The sequence below is a fragment of the Homo sapiens genome, chromosome 16 (assembly GCF_000001405.40).
Source record: "Homo sapiens chromosome 16, GRCh38.p14 Primary Assembly".
NCBI classification, from domain to species: Eukaryota; Metazoa; Chordata; class Mammalia; order Primates; family Hominidae; genus Homo; species Homo sapiens.
The window spans coordinates 67,376,543-67,394,151 of NC_000016.10; the positions used below are offsets into that span (position 1 = coordinate 67,376,543).

General features: G+C 49.8%; 2 protein-coding genes and 1 pseudogene across 19 annotated transcripts in view; 1 reads left to right on the forward strand and 2 right to left on the reverse strand.

The window, feature by feature from the left end:
* Positions 1-8,662, forward strand: part of LRRC36 (leucine rich repeat containing 36) — a 58,390-nt gene extending 49,728 nt beyond the window's left edge. For 9 of the 16 annotated variants that reach the window (NM_018296.6, XM_005256026.3, XM_011523203.2 and 6 more), the window contains 4 exons: positions 185-330; positions 2,047-2,170; positions 5,591-5,705; positions 8,328-8,662. In NM_018296.6, coding sequence (NP_060766.5) covers positions 185-330; positions 2,047-2,170; positions 5,591-5,705; positions 8,328-8,547 — 605 coding nt within the window. In that variant the 3' untranslated portion in view covers positions 8,548-8,662. Of the gene's footprint in view, positions 1-184; positions 331-2,046; positions 2,171-4,884; positions 4,989-5,590; positions 5,706-8,327 lie in introns of those variants that run through there. The other 7 variants (XM_017023401.2, XM_017023402.2, XM_017023400.3 and 4 more) reach the window with 6 other exon arrangements.
* A 4,604-nt stretch (positions 8,663-13,266) lies between these two features.
* Positions 13,267-16,956, reverse strand: TPPP3 (tubulin polymerization promoting protein family member 3). Of its 3 annotated transcripts, NM_016140.4 has the most exons (5): positions 16,838-16,956; positions 16,405-16,495; positions 14,382-14,575; positions 13,937-14,090; positions 13,267-13,820 (listed from the first exon to the last, which is right to left on the reverse strand). In NM_016140.4, the coding sequence occupies exons 3-5, from the start codon at positions 14,567-14,569 to the stop codon at positions 13,632-13,634; spliced, it is 531 nt and encodes a 176-aa protein (NP_057224.2). In that variant the 5' UTR covers positions 14,570-14,575; positions 16,405-16,495; positions 16,838-16,956; the 3' UTR covers positions 13,267-13,631. The 3 variants fall into 3 exon arrangements, with proteins under 3 accessions (NP_057224.2, NP_057048.2, XP_024306062.1); NM_015964.4 differs by lacking the exon at positions 16,405-16,495; XM_024450294.2 differs by lacking the exons at positions 16,405-16,495; positions 16,838-16,956 and adding an exon at positions 14,654-14,830.
* RNU1-123P (RNA, U1 small nuclear 123, pseudogene) lies at positions 14,149-14,308 on the reverse strand (annotated as a pseudogene).
* Positions 16,957-17,609: the final 653 nt, after the last annotated feature.

Sequence of the window (17,609 nt, forward strand, 5' to 3'; positions counted from 1 at the left end):
TAGAGGATGTAGGATATAATTTCTTGTCCTCTTAAAAACACCTCTTTCTGCCACTTACTAAGTTCTGGTAAAAAGGAGATAATACATTAGCCTATTTGATCCAGAGAGCTGGTAGTTACTGACTAGGAATGCTGTGCCTTAGCTTTTAAGATTGGCCTGTGTGCCCATCCTGAATTTTTGGCAGGTCCTGCCCGAGATTTGCTTCTGTCTTTGGTAGTCCCGGCTCCTTCTCAGCCGAGGTGTTGCTCACATCCTGAAGACACGATGAAAGCATTCTGCAGGAGGGAGCTTGAACTGAAGGAGGCTGCGCAGCTGGTCCCTAATGACATGGTATGCCCCTCTCATCTCCCTTTAGAAAAGGACAGAGCAGCAGAACTACAACATCTCTGCCTTAATGATCAGCATCACCGTGAACACCTAACCAAAATATGGCAAAAGTCTGGGCACAGCAGGAATACAAAACTTGCTAGGACAGGGACAACTTGGAAGTTCTGCAGGGATGACTCCCTCATCCTAACCCTAATCCAAAAATTCTAAAGAAAGACTTGAAATAAGAAGAAACAAACAAAAATTCCAAAAAATAGCTCTAGAGTGGAAATGTTTAGGATAATGTTCTTGAAGGTTATGGTTTCACCCCAGCAAATGTATCTGGGATTGTCTTTCCTCCCTTCTAAGCGAGCTGAGAGCCCTGAACCAGGGGCTAAGGGCCATTCTAGAGCATCAGCCTGCTGGCTCTAGGAAAGGAAGAAGCAACTCATATCCCCATGCTTTGTTCCCTTTTCTCTTTTCTTTTCTTTTCTTTTCATGAGGCAGAGTCTTGCTCTGTTACCCAGCCTCGAGCGCAGTGGCACGATCTCGGCTCACTGCAACCTCTGCCCCCCAGGTTCAAGCAATTCTTCCTGCCTCAGCCTCCCAAGTAGCTGGGATTACAGGTGCCCACCACCATGCCCAGCTAATTTTTGTATTTCTAGTAGAGACAGGGTTTCGCCATGTTGGCCGAGGTGGTCTCAAACTCCTGACCTTAGGTGATCCACCCACCTTAGCCTCCCAAAGTGCTGGGATTACAGGCATGAGCCACTGCACCTGGCCGCCTTTTTTCTTCTTTTTTTTGAGATGGGGTCTTGTTCTGTCACTCAGGCTGAAGTGCAATGGTGCGATCTCGGCTCACTGCAAGCTCCGCCTCCCGGGTTCAAGCGATTCTCCTGCCTCAGCCTCCCAAGTTGCTAGGACTACAGGCACACGCCACCATGCCCAGCTAATTTTTGTATTTTTAGTAGAGACAAGGTTTCACCATGTTGGCCAGGATGGTCTCAATCTCTTGACTTCATGATCCGCCTGCCTCAGCCTCCCAAAGTGCTGCAATTACAGGCCTGAGCCACTGCACCCGGCCTCAGCCGCCTTTTCTTAACATTAGAGGATTTTCAGACACCAAGTTCAGTTCTAGAAACTTTAGATAGATCACTAAGAATGCTGGCCATTTGTCAAAATGACAAATGTTTGTTCTGCAAGAGTAGTAGATAACTCATAAGAAAGATTGCTAGTCCATGTAATAAATTTGTTTACTGCTTTTGAGCTGTATTTACCAATGAATTAAAATTCTAGTGAGAAAGAGATGCTGACTTCCAATCAGTTTATCACTAAATAGAGGAAAAGATCTTTCAGTTCTCTAAACACACCTTAGCATGTCAGATTCTTTTTTTTTTTTTTTTTTTTTTGAGACGGATTCTCGCTCTGTTGCCCAGGCTGGAGTGCAATGGCACTTTCTCAGCTCACTGCAACCTCCGCCTCCCAGGTTCAAGCAATTCTCCTGTCTCAGCCTCCCGAGTAGCTGGGGTTACGGGTGCACACCACCATGCCTGGCTAATTTTTTGTATTTTAGTAGAGACGGGGTTTCACCGTGTTGCCCAGGCTGGTCTCGAACTCCTGAGCTCAGGCAAACCATCCACCTCAGCCTCCCAAAGTGCTAGGATTACAGGCGTGAGCCACGGCACCCAGCCTAGAATGTCAGATTCTTAATGTATTTGTATTTTGTTTTCTAATCTAAAGGAAAGTTTGAAGCAAAAACTGGTCAGAGTGCTGGAGGAAAACCTCATTTTGTCAGAAAAAATTCAACAGTTGGAGGAAGGTGCTGCCATCTCAATTGTGAGTGGGCAACAGTCACATACTTATGGTAAGTTGAGGAAAGCCATGATATATGAGGCCTCTCAAGACAACTGTTTGTTTATAGATGACCCATTTAGTAACCTTCATCATGCTAGCTCACGTGGCTGCCTTTGGCCTACTTGGTCATCAGTTTTCCTGGCAGTTAACAGAAACAATCATCTTGCCTCAGAGAATTGTAATGCAGGTGGCTTGAGTTACCAGATGAAGCTCTTGTCAGTGGAAAGCATGTACAAATGTTGTTACTATTGCCATTAATTTTGAGAATGACACATGCTTTTGTGATTATAACACCAAGAACATGTTCTTTATACAAAGTTTGGAAAATACAAGGAAAATATAACCCCATGATCCAGCAATAACTTCCATTAGTGTTTTTGGTATATTTTCTTCTACCATACCTCTCTATATTTTTAACTCCAAATTTACAATTGTGGCTGGGCAGGTGCAGTGGCTCACACCTGCAATCCCAGCACTTTGGGAGGACAAAGCAGGAGGATTGACTGAGTCCAGGAGTTGAGACCAGTCTGGGAAACATAGTGAGAATCCGTCTTTACAAAAAATAAGAAATTAGCCAGGCATAGTGGTGTGCACCTATAGAGCCAAAGAGGCTGAGGCAGAAGGATCACTTGAGCCCAGCAGTTCAAGGTTAGAGTAAGCCTTGATCATGCCACTGCAATCCAGCCTGGGTGAAAGAGAGACCCTGTCTCAAGAAAAATAATAATAAAAATAGGCCGGGTGCAGTGGCTCATTCCTGTAATCCCAGCACTTTGGGAGGCCAACGTGGGCGGATCACTTGAGCTCAGGAGTTCAAGACCAGCCTGGCCAACATGGTGAAACCCTGTCTCTACTAAAAATACAAAAATTAGCTGCGCGTGGTGGCAAGTCCCTGTAATCCCAGCTACTCGGGAGGCTGAGGTAGCAGAATTGCTTGAACCCAGGAGGCAGAGGTTGCAATGAGCTGAGCACTCCAGCCTAGGCAACAGAGCAAGACTCCCTCTCAAAAAATAATAATAATAAAACTGTGTCCTGGTTTTAAAAAATAATTTACATATAATTAGATGCACACATTTTAAGTTTGATCTCAATCAAAATACAGAACATTTCTAGAAAGTTTCTTCATACCTTCGTGTAGTCAGTTTCCCCTACTCTTGACCTCAAGTAATCACAGACCTGATTTCTACATCCTAATGTTATTAATTTCATAGTGTAGGCATTTCTACAGTATCACAAGAATATACCATATTTATCTATTTTGTCCTCTATATAGTTGTTTTTATAATGGTTATATAATATTTAGAATAAAATGATTTTAAATTATTTCTAAACATTCAAAAGAAAGACCTGAAGTGAAGGAAAAGACCCTAGAATCAAATGCTTTTCTGAGATTAACCTTCTTCCCTTTTGATGGAGCTGAGAGTCCTAATATTTAATATTTATACTATTATAAATAATGCTGCTATTAATGTCTATGTACAGAAATCTTTGTGTACATTTCAGACTATTTTCCTAGGAGACAGTCCTAGAAGTAGAATTAGTGAGTCAAAGGATGGGATATTTTTGAGGCTTTTGTTACATAAATCACTCCCAAGAAAATTGTTTCAGTTTACTCCCACCTCAGCAGTGTACTTGAATGCCCCTTTCACTCCCCTCTGCCAACACTGGGCATTTTTTCAAATTTTGCCATTGTGATAAGTGAAAAATAATATCCTTTTTAAATCTTGATTGTACTACTTTATTATCAGCATAGTTTAGGCCAGTATGTTAGATAAAGTTTGCGCTTGACAGACTAGCTTAGCACCCCTAAGCAAATTATGGGTACATGGATTTATACAAGGAACTTGATTTCAAAGTTCTGATGTGGAAGCACTGAATTTCCATTGTTAAATCTCAGCACTAAATAAATAAATAATTCTCAGCACTATCTGATACTCACAGGCCCGAATAATCAAGATATCAGTCTCCACTTACCTACTTTGAAATTAAAAGTAGGTATTTGTCCACTAGATACTTACTTTCATTCAGCCAGGAGGCCCAGTATAGTATTTTGGCTTACTGGTGATAAATAAGCTTTTGCAGCCTTGTTTTCCACCTTCTAGAACTCTCCTACTCAAGATGTGATCCACATTAGTATCACCTGGGAGCTTGCTAAACAAGTGGGGCCTCACCTCAGACCTACTGCATTAAAATCTATTTTTAGCAAGATCCCCAGGTGATTTGTAAGCATATTACAGTTTAAGGCTGGGCACAGTGGCTCACGCCTGTAATCCCAACACTTTGGGAGGCTGGGGTGGGTGGATCACCTGAGGTCAGGAGTTTGAGACCAGCCTGGCAAACATGGTGAAACCCCATCTCTACTAAAAATACAAAAATTAGCAGGGCGTGGTGGCATGTGCCTATAATCCCAGCTACTCAGGAGGCTGAAGCAGGAGAATTGCTTGAACCCAGGAGGTGGAGGTTGCAGTGAGCTGAGATCCCGCCATTGCACTTCAGCCAGCCTGGGCAACAAGAACAAAACTCTGCCTCAGAAAAAAAAAAAAAAAAAAAAAAAAGTTTAAGTATAGAAGATTGGCATCATTACAACCGGAGTTCCTCTTCTTTTACCTCCTTATTATTGCAGGTAATGGTAGTATATTGGGGAAGCTAGGTATAAGTGTCTTAGCCACAAATTCAGTTTCTACAAGTATTAATTGAGTTATTACTGTGTGCCTGACACCATTCTAGATGTTTTCACATACTACGTAGGGAGTGAAGGATGTACAAAACAAACTAAAATGGAGAATACGGTGTGAGACCCAATATCTATTGACTGCCTATGCTAAGTGAGGGTAGGTGTCTCATTGAATCCTCATAACAGGGCTAAGGGGCAGGGTTATTAGCTCTAATGAAAGTCAGAAAAATGAACCAACATGTGCAATATTTTTTTTTTTGAGACGGAGTCTCACTCTGTTGCCCAGGCTGGAGTGCAGTGGCACAATCTGTGCTCACTGCTACCTCCATCCCATCTCCTGGGTTCAAGCGATTCTCTGCCTCAGCCTCTCGAGCAGCTGGAATTACAGGTGCCCACCACCACACCCAGCTAATTGTCGTATTTTTAGGAGAGACGGGGTTTCACCATCTTGGCCAGGCTGGTCCTGAACTCCTGACCTTGTGATCCACCCGCCTCAGCCTCCCAAAGTGCTGGGATTACAGGCGTGAGCCACCGTGCCTGGCCCACGTGCAATATTAAGTGGCTGAATTTTAACTCATATCTGTTGCCAAACCCTGTATTCTTGCCACCATATCTCCTATCTCCAAGTAAGGCAATGGAGTGTGAAGTTGGGTGCCATGGGGCCCCCAGTTCTCAAGATGTCCATCTGAATACTTATATTCTGCTCAAAGACTAGCAGCTTGGAATCCTTTTCACCCCTGGCTACTGTGCCCTTTGTAGATGATCTTCTGCACAAAAACCAACAGCTGACCATGCAGGTGGCTTGCCTGAACCAGGAGCTTGCCCAGCTGAAAAAGCTGGAGAAGACAGTTGCCATTCTCCATGAAAGTCAGAGGTAGGAGAGGGTCTATCTAGCTTGCTTCTAGAAGCAGATATTTACTCCTTTTATCTCCTTTGTTTTGCTTGGAAAGTTAATATCTATGCACTTTGCAAGTGAACTCCATTCTGTGTGTAAACCTCCTGTATCTGGCCAGTTAGCTCAGGGATTATAAAAATTACTGCTTCCCAGGACACATCAGGGACTAATCGTCTTTGTTGGCATTGGTGGGTTGCAACACCTCGATAATTAGCTTCTCACTGGATCTGATGGGACCTTTGTTTGGGTCAGCTAACTTTTTTGGGAGGTCAGTACATACCCCTAAAGTCGGCCATCTGGCTCCTCTGGAAAGTGCCTGCTATTGGTCACGAAAGACATCAAGAGCACTTGGCAGGGAGTGATAAAGAACTCAAAGTGCGTTGTTTCCTTCAGAGGAGCTCAACAGCATCAGTCCTTAAAGAACAGCACCCCCGGCTGGGTGTGGTGGCTCACGCCTGTAATCCCAGCACTTTGGGAGGCCGAGGCAGGTGGATCACGAGGTCAAGAGATCGAGACCATCCTGGCCAACGTGGTGAAACTCCGTCTCTACTAAAAATAAAAAAATTAGCTGGGAGCTTGCTAAACAAGTGGGGCCTCACCTCAGACCTACTGCATTAAAATCTACTTTTAGCAAGATCCCCAGGTGATTTGTAAGCATATTAAAGTTTAAGGCGCGTGCCTGTAGTCCCAGTTACTGGGGAGACTGAGACAGGAGGATCACTTGATCTTGGGAGGCGGAGATAGCAGCAAGCCGAGATCGCGCCATTGCTCTCCAGCCTGTCAACAGAGCGAGGCTCCGTCTCAAAAAAAAAAAAAAAAAAAAAAAAAGCAACCCCAGGATACAGGCAAGGCAAAAAAAATCAGAAGAGACTTCAAGACTATGGCTACATTTAGAGAAGCCCTTGAGATTTTGGCTTGCCGATAATACACATTTACGAGGACTTTCACTGCAGTTTAAATATAAGCACTCCATCCCCAAACCTTCAAGCCTTCTACTTCACTTCCTGATTTTCATTTGGTTAACTTTATATTCAGAGGATTAGACCCAGAACCATTCTGGATTTGTCTGAAAAGCTTTTCATTATAATTATTTCAAACATTACAAAAGTAAAGAGGATAGCATAATACAGTTCTCAAACTTGGGTATGCCTCCAAATTAACTCGAAGGACGTGTTGAAATGCAGATTGCTGGGCCTCATCCCACAGTTTCTGAGTCAGCAGGTCTGGGTTGGGAACTGAACATCTGCATTTCTAATTAGCTTCTGGGTGATGCTATTGCTACTGGTCTGGGGACCACACTTTGAAAACATTAGGATATATTGCTTTAGTGACGTACAGTCAAAATACTCTCTTTTAAATTAACCAGAAATAATCCTTCTGAAACCATACAGGTTCATTTGTTTTATTTTGCCCTTGATTCTTAGGGAATTTTAAAAATAATTTTGATTTAATCTTGTTTTCATAATTATGTAAAACATTTACACAGTCCCAATGTCAACTCTATGAAATAAGATAAATCCAGAAAAATCCAGCTTCCTTTCCTGTCTTTGCTGTCCTTTCCTTCCCTCCCACCATCCTTCTATTGTAGGTGTGGGTGTATATTTGTATTCCCTAATTATTACATAAGAAGACTCAGTGTTGCTTTAACATTTCATCTTGAAAATGCATTCATAGTGGTGTATAGAGTTAGTTCTCATTCCTTTTTCTAGCTGCATAGTGCTCAGTTGTGTGGATGATATACCACTTATTTAATTAGTCTTCTATTGATGGACATTTAGTTTAACATATTTTGCCATTAAAAATAGTGCTATAATGAATAGTATCGTGCATACATTTTTTTCTTTTTGCCAGTGTGTGGATGGCTTTTAACATTAGATGGTAATACAGGCCAGGTGCAGTGGCTCGAGCCTGTAATCCACACTTTGGGAGGCTGAGACAGGTGGATCACTTGAGGTCAGGAGTTTGAGACCAACCTGACCAACATGGTGAAACCTTGTCTCTACTAAAAATACAAAATTAGCTGAGTGTGGTGGTGCACACCTGTAATCCCAGCTACTTGGGAGGCTGAGGCAGGAGAATTGCTTGAATCCAGGAGGCAGAGGTTGCAGTGAGCCAAGATCCCACCATTGCACTCTAGCCTGGGCAACAAAAGTGAAACTCTATCTCGAAAAAAAAAATTAGATGGTAATACAGAGTTCAATGCAGCCATGACTAGCACCATTAGTGAATTGCAGTGGCAGGATAGATTAGAAGTAGATGTTATGATTTGGGGTAGAAATTGGAGGCCTGATCAGGTGCCAGTGACCCAAGGCTTCTACTTACCTCATCATCAAAGTGCTTTTGAAAGAACAGAACAACCGCTAGCTATATATAAAATGGGAAATGTATTATTGCTTCAGTAAGTCTGGAATATAATCAAACAGAATTGTAATGAAGAAACTTTAAGTCTGCTTTTAAAATAACTCAATCATAAATTGGACAGTTCCTTCTATTTAAAGATGTGACTTCATTTCACATTTGCCTTTGGGAGACATTTTGGGTCTGCATGGTATCTCTCTTGCTTTTATGATTTCATGACTGCCTTTTTCCCTTGGGCCTCAGATCCCTGGTGGTAACTAATGAGTATCTGCTGCAGCAGCTGAATAAGGAGCCAAAAGGTTATTCCGGGAAAGCGCTCCTGCCTCCTGAGAAGGGTCATCATCTGGGGAGATCATCGCCCTTTGGGAAAAGCACGTTGTCTTCCTCCTCACCAGTGGCACATGAGACTGGTCAGTATCTAATACAGAGCGTCTTGGATGCTGCCCCAGAGCCTGGCTTATAGAGCTAGCATGGAACTCACACCACAGCTTCCCTGGTCCACAGAGGCTCTCACCGCCATTGCCACCAGTATGGTGGTATGTACTCACAAAGATTAAGAAAGAAATGTATTCTGATTAGATTGTATTGGTCCTTCTTTTTATATCTCTATTTATCTCCCCCTGTTGAGTCATTCTTTCCTTCTGCCCACAGAAATAGTTGGCACTTGGTCCCAGCTATTGTATAGACATTGCATAGAGACATTTGGCTGAAAATGTTGAAAGGGAAAAAAACACTAGACATTTTTCCCCTGTGTCATTTGAAACTGTGTGGTAGAAAGTTAAAAAAGAACATCCGCCAGATTCATCAAACAGGGTTTGATTACCTCCCGCCATGGTGAAAAGCTGACAACACCTGGTGTCTGCCCTGGAGCAGCCAACAATTTAGTCAGGGAAAAAAGCAAACTCATGTGATGGGGCCCAAAGCTTCGAATTGGTACTAAATAGATCTAAACAAAAGCCTAAAGATGCCCTGAAGAGAGAGAAAGAGTGAGTAATGGCCACTGTAGGATTGGAGGTGTCAGTGAGGCTTGTTTGAATGGATGCTGCAGAATGAGTAAGAACGGTAGCAGGTAGAGGGGATGCAGAGCCTCCCAGGCCAAGAGTACACAGAAGAGTCTGGAACACCACAGGGGGATAGTGGGGCAGGGATAGAAGTGTTGGACATGGAAGAGGTGTAATGTCATGAGAATGTCCCCAGAGCAAGTGATCTTTCATGAAGGGGGAGACATGAAGAGGTTACTAGGCAAAGCATGTGGCTGAGGGCAAGAGCAATGGGGAGAAGCTGCAGAGAGCAGCAGCATGTGCGAAGGCCGGGAAATGGAAAGGGACGTGGTTTCTTCAGGGAGCTGAGGGGCTGAGAGGAGGTAAGCAGGAGCAAGGTTGCACCACTCTTTGAAGATTTTAGATTGGGAAGGCAGAGGAGTGACAGACTGTGTTTGAAAAGCTTTCTCAGGACCAGGCATAGGGGCTCACACCTGTAATCCCAGTACTTAGGGAGATCGAGGCGGGAGGATTGCTTGAGACCAGCCTGGGCAACATAGTGAGACTCCGTCTCTACAAAAAAATTTTAAAAGTTAAGGCGCAGTGGTGCATGCCTGTGGGCCCAATTACTAGGGAGGTTGAGGCATGAGGATCACTTGAGCCCAAGAGTTCAAGGCTGCAGTGAGCTATGATTGCACCACTGCACTCCAGCCTGGGCAACAGAGCAAAACCCTGTCTCCAAAAAAAAAAAAAAGAAGAAGAAAGAAGAAGAAGCAGGAGGAGAGAAGAAGAGAATGGGTTGATCATGTGTGAAGTAGCGGGGGACCAAAGCGGAGCTAGGCAGCCCAAAGAAGAGGCAGAGGCAGGCCGGACTAGATATGCTGCTTCTGAATATGTTAGCTTTGGGCTCAGCATCCAGTTTACATGCAGGTGCCCTGTACTTTTAATCCTGATTGGGCATTTGAAAAATCAATGGGGAAAGATGATGTAAGTGGTTCTAGGTATGTTTCTGCTTCAGTGGCCTCCCAGCGTGCTAATGTTGCCAGAGAGTGTGTAGAAAGTGAAGGATTTTCAACCTAATGCCACATGGTTCTTCTCTTCACCTTCAGGGCCACATCAGAGAGAGAGACAGGTGGAAGGATTAGATAATTTACTTGTACCCCTGATTCCATGCTGTGCAGGGAAGGAGAGCCACCACCATACTAATAAGACATGACAGTCACAAGTTTCTAAGTTATAAATCCACAGACTTCTGGATTTTAAGTGGCTTCCCAAAAGCAGCTTGTACAGAGGAGCCAGAAGTTTCTTTGAGCTGCAAGGCTCTGAGGGAGCTAGAGCGAGCTTGTGCTCTGTGGAAATGTCAGTAAGAGCAGCCTCCCTGCACCCCCGCTGCCTCTTTCCTGGGCCTGTCTTTGTCTCCCAGGTAGGGGAGCATCAGCCAGTGGCCTTGCATCCCTGAGTTGTTATATTTCAGGGTCTCAGCCCAGTGCACAGGCCAACCTAATGGACACACCAGGGGGCAGGGAGGAATAATGCACTGCTTTCCTCCAACCCAGCCCTTCCTGCCTCCTCCATGAACACCTGATGGTGCTAGCCCCAGAATCCACTCAGGACACCTCCTAAGGGGAACAAAGAGCCTGGCCCAGTGTGTGCCACCCTCCACCCCATTTGCCATTGTCATTGAAAGTGACCGACCCTGCCCCAGGCCAGGCACCTGCTAGGTTTGCTGGCCACTCCTGGGGAAGTCATCTGTTTCTGATTTTTCCCTGTATGGCACTTGTTCTACAGGGCACGGGTAGGGGTTGCGATGTTAAGGAGAGAGCCAAAGAGCTCAGGGCAAACTGGACTCAACATGGAAAGCGGAGGACCCTTTAAACAAGCAGAAAACACGTGGAGCAGAATCCCACACCCTAGGCCTGGCACTACCACCAGAAAGCAGGACAGGTCTGGGATGGAGACTGGTCCTCAGGGAGGTTCTATGTCCAGAGGGAGGGGCAGAGCCACTCTTAGGTTGGGAGTTCTCCCAGCCATACAGAGCAGGTTTTAAAGGCTCTGTCCCTCTGATCCTAACCTCTCCTTTGTCTAACCTGATTTTGCTAGCAAGGGTATCCAAAGCTTTCAACCACAAGGAGGCTGTTAGGGGAGGGGCAGTGGCATTGCTGGGCAATGGCTGTCATGTGCCAGATTCTGCTAGACCCGTCTGGTCTTAGGGTCCTCCCAGCCCTGAGTGGGCCTTAAATTCCCTCGGGCTTCATAACGGCATTTCGAGAAGAGGCGGCTTTACTCCTATGACGTGGGGTTTTGGGGCTCAGCCATTCTCTCTGTGTTCTTCCAAGCCATACTGCCAGTCACAGGAATGGAGAAGCCGCTGGGCCCTCTACCATTGGATGGTACTGTCACCTGCAGTGGAATAGTGGGAGCCTGGCCCAATTTGGAACACAGTTAAATTTGTTTCCCTGTGAGGCTGTTCTGGTGAAAGCCAGAGGATTTGGGTTTCACTCCTATTATGTTCATTTTAAGCTTGCAATTCAAACGAATTTTCCAGGGCTAGAGGAATTGTTCCTCTGCATTTTTTTTTTTTCATTAAACGCCTTGCATTCTACCTCTTAACATTTGCTGGTGGGAGGATCTGCCTGAAGGTCCCTGAAGCTCTTCCCTGGGCCACTCAAGGAGACGCGGTCAGCTGGGTCAGGAGGAGCCGCGCTGTGAGGCAAGGCTCTGCTGTGGCCAGGTGCCCACCTGCTGCCTGCCGATTCCCGCCTGACATCCCTGTCTCAAGCCATACTATTCCGCTACACCCCTGTCCCCAAGGAAAGCTGGGCTTAAGGGATGTGGGGCCACCTGGGCAGGAGCATCCCCCAATAGACTGTGGGATGAGAGGATAAACAATGGTGCTGCTTTGTCTTGTGATCTGGGTCAGGAAAGCAGGCATTTGGGAACTGGCCCTTTTATACCTTTTCTAGCCCCTTTGGGAGCCACCCTCTCCTGGGTAGGCCCTAAAGTCCCATCCAGCCCCATTTTCACAGCAAGGAAGGAAGGAGAGGTAGCCCGAAAGCCTTGGCTTGGGAATAGCTCTGTCAAAACACCCAGAGCCTCAGTGAGATGATCTGGAAACGCCCAGGCATCCTCAGGACCAGAGAGGCTCCCTTCCCCCACTAGGGATGTGGAACAGATGGGAGGACATCAAAGAGGAGGCCCCTTTACTGAGGGATGCCCTGCTCCCACCACAGGCTAGTGTTGGGTGCCAAGCCCTATCACCAGTCAGCCAGTCCCAGTTTTGGAAGTCAATGCTGGGGCTTGCTAGAAAGAGCCTGGCCTGGGAGGCAAGAGGCATGGTCTGGCCTCTAGTCTGCAGAAGCCCCTCCACCTCTCTGGATGTTTCCTCAGCTATAAAATTACGGAGTCAGATGAGCTACTCTCTTTTTTTTTTTTTTTTTTTTTTTTTTTTTTTGAGACAAAGTGTCTGTTGCCCACACTGGAGTGCAGTGGCGTGATCTCGGCTCACAGCAACCTCCAACTCCTGGATTCAAGCGATTCTCCTGCCTCAGTCTCCTGAGTAGCTGGGAGGGACTACAGGCACGCAACACCATGCCCAGCCAATTTTTGTATTTTTAATCGAGACGGGGTATCACTATGTTGGTCAGGCTGGTCTTGAACTCCTGACCTCATGATCCACCCGCCTCAGCCTCCCAAAGTGCTGGGATTACAGGCGTGAGCCACCGCGCCCGGCCTGGATGAGCTACTCTCTAAGGTTCTGCCTGGCCCTGCGTTTTCTGTATTCTGAGCCAGAACCCAAAATGACTTGCCTCGGTAGCCCCTGTTCGCAGACTGAAAGCTGATGCCTGGCTCTGGGGCCTCTGCCAATGCTTGGCCCAGGCTGAGTCGGCTGTTTCATCCCTCCTACTGCTGTGAAAGTGGAGAGGGGGCCAACTCTCCAAACCCAAGGCACTGGTCACAGGAAGGCAAGCTTTGATGTCAGGACTCCCGTCAGGCCCAGCTAAAAGGCTTTGGACTTCCCCAGGAGTCTCCTCAGACAGAATGGCTCTGTGCTAACAGAAGGGGACTCATGAGTGCCTTTTTCTGGGCAAGGCTGCCAGGGGAAGGGGAGTGATTAGCAGTGTGTGGCATGCAGCGGGGTGATGACACTGAGGGGGTCACTGGAGTGTGAATGTCATTCCCCCATCATCGTCAACCAGGCCATATTGGTACAAAAGGTGTCTTTATTGAGGTCTGGGTTAAAATTAGGCACTTGGCCAGAGCAGCAGCTTAAATATGAGGCAAGCAGTCAGGGGTTAGCCATGCCTGGGGCTGGGTTGGGGTCATGAGGCTACAGGCACAGACTGTCCCCAGGTGGACAGAAGTTGGAGCAGGAAGAGGAGGAGGAAGGGGCCGCAGAGCAGCCTGGGTCAGAGGCCTGGTGGGCCAGCCCAGTGGGACTAGGCAGGAAGCTCTGGGTGGCAGGTCCAGCAGGGAGGGGACCAGGATCTCTTGCTCCACGTGCCCCTTAGACCCAGGCCTGAGCCTCTGGCAGGGGCAGCCGCACTTGGCAGGGCGGTCTTCCCAAGCCTCACTTCTTCACCTTGGCATCGTAGGTGCCTGCATTCTTGTAGGCGCTCACGTAGCCACTGTCGTCCAGGATGTCCTGCCGTCCCGCAATGCCCTTGCCCTTGCCGCTCTCATCGAAGCGCTCCTTGTGGGAGCCCGTGTATCTGCTGGTGTCCGTCAGCCGGTCTACAGCACCCCCTGTTTTTGCTTTCTGTTTGGACAGAGTTTCCCCAGGGGCACCTGATGAGGGAGCCCAGCCCTTCCCACCCACAGCCACGATTCCCCACACCCCATTCCGTGGCCACCCGAGACCAGCAGGGCACTTACAGTGACGCCCACATTGGCTGGCTCTTTGCCTGCCACCAGCTGGCAGATGGCATCGAAGGCCTCCTCCTTGCTCTTCCCCTTGAATCTCTTGGTCGCCAGCTCTTCCAGGGCCTTCTTGAACTCCTCATAGTTGATGACCCGAGCAGACTTCCCCCTGACAGGCATGTGGGCACCATGAGGGTTCCCCTTTCTTTTTTCTCCCCCAGGGGAAAGCTCAAACACATTTGCTGCCACCACAAATTATGCAATTGCGTTTCTTTCCCACGTTTGGGGAAGTCGCAGGGGTCAGCAACTCTGGAGGGCAATAGATATAAGGTTTGCCCTGGAAGAACGACCTTCGTGATCATGGTGTTTCCCTGACCCCTTCTTGATGTCCTCCCTGGTTCCAGCCCCCCAGTTCCCCACCTCCTGGGAACATGAGAAGCAGGGGCTGCTTAGGGCTCACTTGACTTTGGAGAAGACGATGTCCACATCGGTCCCTGTCACGGACTTTCCGTCAGCCACCTTGCAGTCCTTGCACAGCTTGGCCCAGTTCTTGCCATTCATCTCTTGCCCACTGGCCTTGGGGTCACCATGGATGGCAAACTTGCGGAAGCTCTCCTCCAGCCCAGCCATGTCTGTGCTCGCTGCCATGCCACCCTATAGAGACCCACCTGGGTCATCTCCCAGCCAATCTGCCCTTCCCCTCCCCCAAGCCCAGAACATCCCAGCCTCTACCTCAAACCTGCAAGACCTGGGCAGGTTCTGCTACAGAGTTGGTGCTGGAGCTGCCTGGGGAGAGGGGCCCGTCACTGTCGCCCTGGGCCACAGAGCCCCAAGGAAGAGCCCCGGGAGGCACGGTCTTGTCACTAATGCCAGCCCTGGCTCTCAGCAGGGTTCAGCAGATGAAATAATGATGCCCACAGGGAACAGAGTGGCACTGTCCAGAAAGACTGTTAGGGCAGCAGCTGGGGCCCTGGCTTTGTCTGGCCCTGGCACAAGGCCTTGCTTGGGTGGAAGTGAGGGTGGCAGAGCAGGCCCCCTCCCTGGAAGCTCCATGCCAAGCTGGCTTGGGGCCAGGCCAGGCTGCTGGTCGGGCAGGCATTCAGTGAGGACAGCATCTCTGTAAGGGTCATGAGGACCCAGCAAGAGCCAGTCTGGGCACGGGTGCATGCCCTGGGCAGGGGTGCAGCTGGTCCAGCAAGGCCTTGTTACTATTTGCTGTTAAACAAAAACATGAGGGGAGCTTGGGGCTGGCCTGGCCACAGTTTGTGAAGCCTGGAGACGGTTGCTAAGGGAGGGTGGTGCTGCTTGGAGAATGTTGCTAAGGGCAGGATGGTGTCAGGGCAGCTCAGGGAGAAGCTCCCAGTGCTGAGGGGCTGGGCTGGGCTGGGAAGCTGGGGCCCACGGGTGGGGCACGCCAGCACTCCCTGCGCCTAGGGCATAACCGTGGCTTCCTGGCCCCTTGCCACCGACTGGTGCTGTAACCTCCCACTGTGGAGTTTTGGGGGAGCAGGAGGTTGGGGGCTAGTAGCGTGGGGGCTGTAGAGTTACGAACCCCAAGAGTCGTGCTGGCAAGTGGGGCTGTGGCTGAAACACACTTCATCATGTCTACACCTCAGACCTCCCCTGGCCACGCCCTGAACTTGGCCACACCAGCCCACATTCCCAGCGACCCTGTGCACTCAGCCCTGGCCTGCCACCCCCTGGGCCTTGTACCCCTGGCCATACCTTCAGCCCTCCATCCTCCATCTTCACACCCACAGCCACAGCCCTCGGCCACCAGCCCCCACATATATACTAACAAGCCTGCGCCAACCCCAGTAATACCCACAGTCCAGCACTAAAGTGCCCCCCACACCCACAGCCCTCCGCTGCAGACCCCTGGCCACACCCTGAGCCTACACAGCAGCCTTCTCCATCCCCACACCCGCAGCCCTGGGGCTGAGGCCCCTGGCCACAAACCTGCATCCCTTCCTGAGACCCCTGACCATAGCCTCAGCCACTCACCCCCTCCAATACCCGCAGCCCTTTATCAAGGCGCCCTGACCCTCAGCACCCCTTTGTCCACACACCCTCAGCCCTCTGGCCACACCCTCAGCCTGCACTGAAGGCCCCAGTCCACATCCACACACTAACATTATAAGACTCCCAGGTACTATGCGGAGATCCCCTGCGTAGAGACCTCCCCACCACATCCCCCTCCTCCACTGCCACCTCCTGACCACACCCTCGGTCTCAGCAACCATCTTCTAGCTCTGCCTTTTACACTAGGGCTTCCAGTGACCACGGCCTGGGCTCTGCCCGGCTGCCCCATCTTCCACCAAAAACTCCTCGCCAGTGACCACACTCCCATCCCTAAGTGGCAGTTTCTGGGACTGTGAGCACCGGTGGTTCCTACGTTACAGGGACCATAACCCCAGTCCACGCTGCACTCCCCTTCCCTTTCCCTGGGTGCAACCTCCCACCAGGGACCCCAAGACCCGCACTTGGTTCACCAAGGGTAACGTCCAGGGGAGCTTGGATGCCACAGGGTGCTTGGCCCAAGCACTGGGCGGATCCTGCGTGCAGTGCTCACTCCTGTCCGTGGAAAGATGGATTCTTGGTCATCTCAGCGCGGTCAGGTGGCGCTGGGTTGCAGGCCGCAGCCCCATGGGTCTGCAGGCCATGGATGGAGTGGCCACACCCGTGAACTGGAGCCACCCGTCCCGCTCCCACTGGGACAGCTGGAGTCATCAATCAGCCGGACCAGGAGGTGGGGGCTGCGAGGTGGAATGCTTGGGGCCAGGGCAGGGCCGCTCAGCTGGCTCCTCGGCTGGGACCGCCGGAGGTTGGGACCCTTTCCAGGCTGCTCCCCCCAACCCTCATCGTGCAGGATACTGATTGGGGTGGCGGGCATCTGGGTCTCCTATGGGCTTCTACCTCGCGGCTGCTCCTGAAGTGTGCGTTCGGAAGGACAGAACGACGCAGGAATGGACCGATGGACGCGGGAGACCAGGCGGCTCCGCAGCTCCGCTCCCTGCCGGCTCCCGGGTGGGACTGCAGCCCAGGCGGCTCCGCCGTATTATCCCCTGTTTCTCGGTCTCCATAGAGACGGCGAGTCCCACCCCCGAGGCTGTCTCGGCGGGAGAGTGACCAAGGTCACGCCGGCCCCGCCCACGAGGCCCCGCCCTCCCCGAGACTCTCCGGGAGCCGCATCCCGCCCCTCCCCCGCAACTCCGCGGTCCTCGCGACGGCGAGACCAGCGCTCTGCAGTTCGGGGCGTCTTCGGACGGCCCCCTGAGGAAACAGCCTCCCATCCTGGGATGTGCCTAAAGCTCTAAGCGGCCCCAATCTCCAGAAGAGATCCAGCTCCCCAGAGAGTCAACCAGAGGCCACTGGGGAGCTGCGCGGGGCATTGGTGGGGCTTGGGGAATCGGGAAGGAGCTCTCCCTCAGTGACAGGGGTATACGGTTGACTCAAGAGCACTGCCATCCACTGAACGGATGGCACCCCCAGGCCACAACTCCCGTGCTCTCTTGGGTAGGATTCAGAGCCTGGAGCAGTGGGGAAGAAGGGAGGGGACTCCCTACGAGCGAATCGCGCTCGCCCAGCCCCAGGATGCTGGCATTCGACGGCAGCCCTGCTGCCGGGGAAAAGCTGCGGGACCTCCTGGCTCGGCCCCCTCCTTTCGCCGCCACCTCCCCACGGCCTC